This window comes from Homo sapiens, chromosome 4 (genome assembly GCF_000001405.40).
Source record: "Homo sapiens chromosome 4, GRCh38.p14 Primary Assembly".
NCBI lineage: Eukaryota > Metazoa > Chordata > Mammalia > Primates > Hominidae > Homo > Homo sapiens.
Genome location: NC_000004.12, coordinates 18,155,029 through 18,164,374, shown reverse-complemented (window position 1 = coordinate 18,164,374; position 9,346 = coordinate 18,155,029). Strand labels below are relative to the sequence as shown.

At 42.3% G+C, this 9,346-nt stretch overlaps 1 long non-coding RNA gene across 1 annotated transcript, besides 1 other annotated feature; it reads right to left on the bottom strand.

Moving 5' to 3' along the window:
- Positions 4,559–5,065: an enhancer, noted in NCBI's record as "H3K27ac-H3K4me1 hESC enhancer chr4:18160933-18161439 (GRCh37/hg19 assembly coordinates)". NCBI's record gives its function as "activates a minimal SCP1, AML or CMV promoter by ChIP-STARR-seq in primed H9 embryonic stem cells {active_cell/tissue: H9 hESC(primed)}" and the evidence as "EXISTENCE:reporter gene assay evidence [ECO:0000049][PMID:30033119]".
- Positions 6,977–9,042, bottom strand: LOC107986220 (uncharacterized). Its single transcript, XR_001741499.1, has 3 exons — positions 8,761–9,042; positions 7,683–7,807; positions 6,977–7,336 (listed from the first exon to the last, which is right to left on the bottom strand). It is a non-coding gene; the product is annotated as an uncharacterized LOC107986220 (long non-coding RNA).
- Between the last annotated feature and the right edge of the window lie 304 nt (positions 9,043–9,346).

Here is a 9,346-nt window from a genome sequence, read left to right as displayed (position 1 = left end):
TTGCCTGAGGATGAGACAGGTGTTGGGTAGAAGGAAAAGAGAAATTACAAAGAGGCACAAAGAAACTGTTGGAGATAACAGAGATGGTCATGATCTTGATTATAGTAATGATTTTGTACATGTATGCATACGTCAAAACATCAAATTTTACACACTAAATATGCACAGTTCACTATAAATCAATTCTACGTCAATAAGATTGTTTATAAAATAAATAACTGAATGAGGTCTGTCTCCCGACTCAACATTGACTGTTACAACAGAAACAAAGGGAAGGAAGGAAGGAAGGAAAGAAGGAAGGAAGGAAGGAGGGAGGGAGGGAAAAAACATAGCAAACATATGAAATAAACCTAAGTATCCATCAAAGTATGACTGAATAAAGCAAATGTGGTGTTTATAGGCAATGGAAAACTATTTAGCCATAAAAAAGATTAAAATCGTGTTTTGCAGCAACATGAATAAAACTGGAGGCCATTATCTTAAGTGAAACAACTCAGAAACAAAGTCAAATACCACATATTCTTACTTATATGCAGGAACTAAATAATGTGTACATGTGGACATAGAGTGTGAAATGATAGACACTGGAAACTCAGAGGGTAAGGAGGTTTAAGGGAGGAGGGTCATGAGAAATTTTAATAGATACAGTGTGCATTATTCAGGTGATGAATATACCAAAAGCCAGGACTTCACCACTATACAATATATGTAGGTGCCAGAATTACACTTGTACTCCCTTAAATTTATACAAATTTAAAAAGAAAAAGGAAAAAAACATGTGCCTGGAATTAAATGGAAAGTAAAATGAAATGAACAGAATGAAGCAAAATGAAAAAGTTGCATTTATTTCAAAGATCCCCCACAGAAGGACAGCCTATTCAACATGTGGTACTGAAAAAATTAGATAGCCATATACCAAAGAATGAAACTGGACTCCTATCTGTCATCATATACAAAAAATAACTCAAGGTGGGTGAAGTACTTAAATGTAATACCTGAAACTATAAAAAATCCTGGAAGAAAACCTAGAAAAATTCTTCACGACATAGGCCTAGGAAAAGAATTTATGATAGAGGCCTCAAAAGCAAATGCAACAAAAACAAAAATAGATAAATGGGACTTAATTAAACTAAAAAGCTTCTGTACAGAAAAAGAAATAAAAGAGTAAACCAATAATCTACAGAATGAGAAAAAATATTTGCAAAATATGCATCTGACAAAGAATATCCAGACTCTACAAAGAACTTAAATAACTCAACAAGAAAAAACAATGTCATTAAAAAGTGGGCAAAGGATGTAAACAGACATATCTCAAAAGAAGATACACAAGCAGCCAACAAACATATGAAAAAATGCTCAACATCACTAATCATCAGAGAAATACAAATTAAAACTACAATGAGATAGCATCTCACACCAATCAGAGGGCTATTATTAAAAAGTCAAACAACAGATGTAGACAAGAATGCAGAGAAAAGGGAATGCTTATAAACTGTTGGTAAGAATGTAAACTAGAGCAAACTGTGGAAATCAGATTTCTCAAAGTACTAAAAATAGAACTATAATTTGACATAGCAACCCCACCACTGGGTATCCACCCAAAGGAAAAGAAGTCATTATATTAAAGAGACACCTGCACTCATGTTTATTGCAGCACTATCCACAATAGCAAAGTCATGAAATCAATCTAAGTGTCTATCAACGGATGATTGGGTAAAGAAAATGTGGTACATATATATCATGGAATAATATGCAGCCCTAAAAAAGAATAAGATTATGTCTTTTGCAGCAACATGGATGGAGCTGGAGGCCATTATCCTAAATGACTCCTGGCCCCAAGTGAGGTGTTGAAAGATCACTTAAGGCCAGAAGTTCAAGACCAGCCTACACAACATAGCAAGACTCTGTCTCTAACAAAATTTAATTAATTAATTACAATTTAATTAATTAATTAAAATAAATCAAATACTACATGTTCTCACTTGTAAGTAGGAGCTTAACAATGGGTACACATGAACATACAGAGAGAAATAATAGACACTGGGGACTCCAAAATGGGAAGTGAGTGTTGAAAACTACCTAGTGGGTACAATATTTACTGTTTGGATGATGTGTGCACTAGAAGCACAAACCCCACCACTACACAATATATCCCTATAACAAACATGCACATGTACCCCCTGAATGTATAAAAAAAAATTTAAAGACCCCCCCAACCAAGACCTCTCCAAATAAACCAGAAAATTATTAGGGACCTTATCATTGCAATATATGAGGAGATAACATCTTCAGGATGCTTTAGTATTTGGTGAAACAGGATTCACAATTACTATACAGTAATATGTTTTGCTAAACTTTTCCTCAGACCTTTTGTTCAAGGGAAGTACTTCTGAAGGAAGAAAAGACTTTCTGTAATTCTTCCCTATGTATTTTATAAGTATGGTGATGTCTTCATTTTCCTATTTTAAGTAGTTAATTGACTAGTTCAGTTGAAGGAGGGGGCAGTTCACTGACTGGCTTGTAGGCTCAGCATCACAAGATCTTCAAATCCGACCTGGAAGATTTCTACAGCATTTCTTATCCCTCATAAGATGGGAGTAGCTGGTCTATCAAGATCTACCCCTTAGCTCCACTAAGGAGTTTTAGTACTAGAGAAAAGCACTCATGCAATATATACGTGTGCCCTTCCGGGAAATTAAGGGAGCCTGCTAATTGACCATAATATCCAGACTTCCCTTCTCTCTTTTAATATTGCATCCCCACAACACAGTTTTGCATGACATGTAGTCCACTAATTGTCTAATCCATTTTCCAAGACTCCATTGCAGCTAAATATGGCAATGTGGCTATGTTCTCACTAGTGGAATGTAAACAGCAGTTTTGCATGAAGCTTTTATATCACTTCATTAAATGGGAATCACTTTTCCTCTACTTCTCTGCTTTCCTCTTCCTATAGACTAGAACATAAATGTGGTCATAGAACACCACTGTCAAAAATGCAGACAACACCCTAGTCAATAGCAGGACAACATGATCAAAGGACCCAGACTGGATTCCCAGCTGACCCTCGTGAGGCAGAGTGATCTTCCTGTCTTGGACTACTGCCTCCCTTTGAACCATTAATTAAGAGAAATAAACCTCTCTTCCATGAGCCTCTGTAGTTAGGAGTCTCCTTATTATAGTAGCTTGGCCTCTTCTCAGATAATTGGGGAGCCTTACCCTAACTGAATTTGGTATTTTTCTTGGAACGAACCAGATGTGGGATGAGTTATGAATAAAAGGCATGGGAATATGAGAATACTAAAGTTGAAAAGCCTTTTTGGGCCGGGCACAGTGGCTCACACCTGTAATCCCAATACTTTGGGAGGCCGAGGCGGGTGGATCACCTGAGGTCAGGAGTTCGAGACCAGCTTGGCCAACATAGTGAAACCCTGTCTCTACCAAAAATACAAAAATTAGCCGGGCATGGTGGCATGCACTTGTAATCCCAGCTACTCGGGAAGCTGAGATGGGAGAATTGCTTGAACTTGGGAGGTGGTGGTTGCAGTGAGCTGAGATTGTGCCACTGCACTCCAGCCTGGGTGAGAGAGCAAAACTCCATCTCAAAAAGAAAAAAAAAAAAAAAAAAGCCTTTTTGATGGGAGGAAATTCCTTCTAGAGGCAAAAACAAAATGAAAGAAAAAGAAGAGATTTAAGGATGATAGAGGCAGAGGACTTGGCTGAAGAAGGAGAAATGGGAGAAAAGAGTGTCTTCTCAGTATTGAGCCCCTGGACGTAAATTAAGAGGAATTCGAAAAATACCTAGCTAGGAGCGTTTCACTTTTCTACGATAATTTAAAGCCAATAATGTATTTTTGGCAGTGCCCAAGTTCTCCAATCATACAGGGCAAACGTGTTGGTGAAGTGAAATAGTATCTCTATCCATTAAGCAAAGGCTGTTTATTGTTCAAATATTACAAATAATTTTGAGTTCCACATCTTTTAATAAAGTACATTTTCCTCTAATTGTCCAACCATGTAGCAATAATTGAGAGTCAGTTAGAGTCAGTTAATTATTTATCTTGTTTCTCATTTATCCCTATCTAGCCTTTATGGCATAGTTCAGGAAAGGTGCTATTTCATGACTCTGGTCTTTGTAAAATGAAAATAATCACTCCTACATTGAAATATTGTCATCTAGAACTGAAATATGTGTGATGAGGACACCCCTAGGAGACTAACATGCAAATGTGGCATTTCACAGGCTTCACCCTACCACTGAAATGCAATCCTAAATTCCAACAAGTCCTTTTCAAGAGAGCTTTGCTGACATCATTCCCCTTCATCCATATCACCTATTTCTAGCCATAACCCCCATCAGGTAATTATGGTTATGATTGTGCTGTGCTATATCAGCAGCATACAATAAAAGGGATTTTTAAAAATTTATCTCATGGCTACAGTGTAGATTGATTTACCCTGGACTCAACTGAGCCACTCAACTGCTCTCACCTGGTCTCATTAACACATCTGAAGGCGGACAGGGACGCAGCAGATCCCGGTGAGAGGTGACAGCGTGCTGGCAGTCCTCACAGCCCTCGCTCGCTCTGGGCGCCTCCTCTGCCTGGGCTCGCACTTTGGTGGCACTTGAGAAGCCCTTCAGCCCACCGCTGCACTGTGGGAGCCCCTTTCTGGGCTGGCCAAGGCCGGAGCCCACTCACTCAGCTTGCAGGTAGGTGTGGAGGGAGAGGCGCGAGCGGGAACCGGGGCTGCGGGCTGCGCTTGCGAGCCAGCTGGAGTTCCGGGTGGGCGTGGGCTTGGCGGGCCCCGCACTCGGAGCAGCCGGCCGGCCCTGCCGGCCCCGGGCAATGAGGGAGTTAGCACCCGGGCCAGCGGCTGCGGAGGGTGTACTGGGTCCCCCAGCAGTGCCAGCCCACCGGCGCTGCGCTCGATTTCTCGCCGGGCCTTAGCTGCCTTCCAGCGGGGCAGGCCTCGGGACTGCAGCCCGCCATGCCTGAGCCTTCCCCCGCCTGGGTGGGTTCCTGTGCAGCCCGAGACTCCCTGACGAGCGCCGCCCCCTGCTCCACGGCACCCAGTCCCATAGGCCACACAAGGGCTGAGGAGTGCGGGGGCACGGCGCGGGACTGGCAGGCAGCTCCACCTGCAGCCCCGGTGCGGGATCCACTGGGTGAAGCCAGCTGGGCTGCTGAGTCTGGTGGGGCCTTGGAGAATATGTCTAGCTCAGGGATTGTAAATACACCAATCGGCAGTCTGTATCTAGCTCAGGGTTTGTAAACACACCAATCAGCACCCTGTGTCTAGCTTAGAGTTTGTGAGTGCACCAATCGACACTCTGTATCTAGCTGCTCTGGTGGGGCCTTGGAGAACCTTTGTGTCCATACTCCATATCTAACTAATCTGATGGGGACAAGGAGAACCTTTGTATCTAGCTCAGGGATTGTAAACGCACCAATCAGTGCCCTGTCAAAACAGGCCACTCGGCTCTACGAATCAGCAGGATGTGGGTGGGGCCAGATAAGAGAATAAAAGCAGGCTGCCCGAGCCAGCTGCGGCAACCCACTCAGGTCCCCTTTCACGCTGTGGGAGCTTTGTTCTTTCACTCTTTGCAATAAATCTTGCTGCTGCTCACTCTCTGGGTCCACACTGCTTTTATGAGCTGTAACACTCACCGCAAAAGTCTGCAGCTTCACTCCTGAAGCCAGCGAGAGCATGAGCCCACCGGGAGAAACAACAACTCCAGACGCCCCGCCTTAGGAGCTGTAACACTCACCGCGAAGGTCTGCAGCTTCACTCCTGAGCCAGTGAGACCATGAACCCACCAGAAAGAAGAAACTCCGAACACATCAGAACATCAGAAGGAACAAACTCCAGAGGCGCCACCTTAAGAGCTGTAACACTCACCGCGAGAGTCCGCGGCTTCATTCTTGAAGTCAGTGAGACCAAGAACCCACCAATTCCGGACACACCGGCCTGGGTTCAACCATAGAAACTCTTCTCTGCTCCATGTGGTTGTCATCCTTCTCCTAGTAAATGCAGGCAGCCTTTCATGTTTTGTGATCATAGCAGAGACAAAATAGAGCAAGCTTGCTCACGTCATTAGTACAAAAATTCCACTGGCAAAAGCAAGTCATGTGACTAAACCCAAAATAAAGGGGCAGAGAAACATACTCTGCCTCTTTAATGGAATAAACGGAAAAGTTACATGGCAATGGGCATGGATAAATAGAGAAATGAAAATTCAGGCATTAATGTATTCTGCCAAAATCCACTCTAGGGGTACACACCTGTATGAGTCTGTTTTCATGCTGCTGATAAATACATACCCAAGACTGGACAGTCTACAGAGAAAAAGAGGTTTAATTGACTCACAGTTCCACATGGCTGGGGAGGCCTTACAATCATAGTGGAAAGCAAAAGGCATGTCTTACATGGCATGAGACGAGAGAATGAGAGCCAAGCGAAAGGGGAAACTGCTTATAAAAACCACAGATCTCGTGAGACTTATTCACTATCATGAGAACAGCACAAGAAAGACCTACCCCCATGATTCAATTACCTCCCACTGGGTCCCTCCCATGACACAAGGGAATTGTGGGAGTTAGAATTCAAGATGATTTGGGTGGGGACACAGCCAAACCATATCAACACCCATGCTCATTGGTATGTGTACCCACTTCTATTCTCCTTTGTCTCCTGCTCCTGTCTATAACCTCTCCTTAAGCTGTCCTTCCTGGCCAGGTGCAGTGGCTCCCACCTGTAATCCCAGGACTTTGGGAGGCCAAAGCAGGTGGATCACCTGAGGTCAGGAGTTCAAGACCAGCCTGACCAAGATGATGAAACCCTGTCTCTGCTAAAAATACAAAAATTATCTGGGTGCGGTGGTGGGTGCCTGTAATCCCAGCTACTCAGGAGGCTGAGACAGGAGAATCGCTTGAACCTGGGAGGCAGAGGTTCCAGTGAGCTGAGATCATGCCACTGCACTCTAGCCTGGGCAACAGAGCAAGACTCCATCTCAAAAAAGAAAGAAAGAAGATGTCCTTCCTAAACGTCTCCTGATCTGAATGTAATTGTAGCTACATGGGTGTAGTAAAAGTATAGACTAGAAGTTAGCCAGCAAAATCATATTCTGGATATGTCACCAACCAACTCTGTAACCAATAAGAGCTTTGGAAATAATCTCTTCAAGTTTTCCTGATTCTCAATTCTGTGTTTATTCTGCCTTCCCTTCATTCCCTCTCAACTTCATACATTACCTTCATTTCAAACATTACCTTCATTTCTTTGTTCAGCAAACATTGGCTGGATGCCTTTTGTGTATCAGGTGCTATTCCAGGAACTGGGAATTCAGAGAAATATGATGATAAATTTTAGTCTTCCAGGAACCACAATCTAGTGTACAAAACAGACAACTAAAGAAACAATGCCAGTATAGTATTTTATAAAGGTCTGACAGTGAACCAAAGAAGCCTAAAGGAAGAGCAGGTAAACCAAATGGCCTGCTTGCTATTGTTATTCTACATATTGGTAACAGATACTAGATGATTTGTCCAATTGATACAAAAATTTCAAACAGTAAGCCACCTTGGTTATCTCCAGGACTGGACTGACCTAACTTCTATCCCAAAAAGACAACAAGGGTAATGACCATGTTTTAATTAGAAAAAGGCAGAACTTCAGCTCACCATTCCTGCTTAAAATTCATGGATGAGGACTTGGTCACATGACCATACTGCAAGGGAGGCTAGGAAATGAGTTATCCAGCTGGTTTCCTATGTGTCTAGATAAGTCTGGAGGCAGACACCCAATACTAAAAAGGAGAAGAAATGGAGAACAAATATTGGGGACAATTAGTAGCTGCTGTCACAAGAAGCTACCCTTAAATTCCCTTGCACCCAGGTTTCTTCTATCTTGTGGCCCTGCGATTGTCCTCATGTGACTTCCATCTCTTCATCCAATATGGCTGAACAGTGCCCTGCCATCATTGCCACATTCCTGCCAATAGGAAATGGAAAAGGTGAAATGGCAAACCCTTTTCCTTTATAGACATGCCCTAGAAGTTGCAAATATCACCTTCTCATACATCCTATTCATCATATCCTAGCTATAAGAGAGGTGAGAAAAGGTAATCTATATAATTGACTGGTCAGGTGCTCAATGATAAAACTTCTACTATATGGAAAAAAGTGAAGAGATATTGGAAGAGAATTCCATTTTCACCAAGGATCCAAAATGAAGATAAGCCATTCTTGGATGTCTGGGGAAAAACTTGAGTGGGCTAAATATGCTTTGTTTTCACTTAGAAGTCAAAAGCAAATGGTTAAGCATCATCATGCATGTGCAGTCTGTGTAAGTGTGTGCACATAGGTCCAAAAACTGTCACAAAAGACTGGACATAGACTAATCCACTCCTTTTTGGGTGCAAGAGATTCCTAAAATTGCCTGCCTAACCCACCTCCTTACTTCTTCTAGGGGAGGAAAGATTTCTGCTGGAAGGAAAGTTAAGTTAATCTTCCTATTAAAATGCTGAGTGGGCATTAGAAGGGAGGAAAGCATAAGAAAGCTAATCAGACTGGACATAAAGGAGGAAGCTTTTAGAGAAGTGAATGAGTTGAATGAGCCTGTGGAGGTGAGAGAACAGTATAGAGCAGGAAAAGGGATTCTAGTAAATGTTGCAAAAACTGTATTATTTGTTTTTCTATTGCTGCATCACAGAGTACCCCAAACGTAGAGACTTCAAACAACACAAATTTATTATCTCACAGTTTTCTTGGGTCAGGAGTCCAGGCACACCTTAGCTGGATCTTCTGTCCAGCCTCTCGCAAGCCTGGAATCAAGGTGCCTCTTGTGCTACAGCTCCCCTTTGGAGCATTGGGCTCTCTTCCAAGTTCTTTCAAGGTGTTCACTGAATTCAGTTGTTGACTGGATTCCCTTTGTGGTTGCAGGACTGGAAAAGTCCCCATTTTCTTGCTAGCTCTTAGAGGCTGGAGAGCACTCTCAATTCTTTGCCTCATGTCTCATCATCACATCACATTAGTACTTCTTCTAAAGACTTGTCTGATTAGATCAGATTCATCCAGGATAATCCCCCCTTTTGAGTAACTCAGAGTTAATTAGTAACCCAATCATGTGAATGATATTGCATCATAGTCATAGGCTCCAGAGACTATATAAAATATGTGAACCACAGGATGGGAATCTTGGCAGTCATCTTAAAATACTGTACTGTTCATTGCCCTGTAAGTTTGAATCCTTTTAATAATTTTTAGAAGTGACAATAAATAATGGAATTCTCTTTAACTTAAATATTTTTGTTGAATTGTGTTTCGTAAGAAAACCAAACACTGGG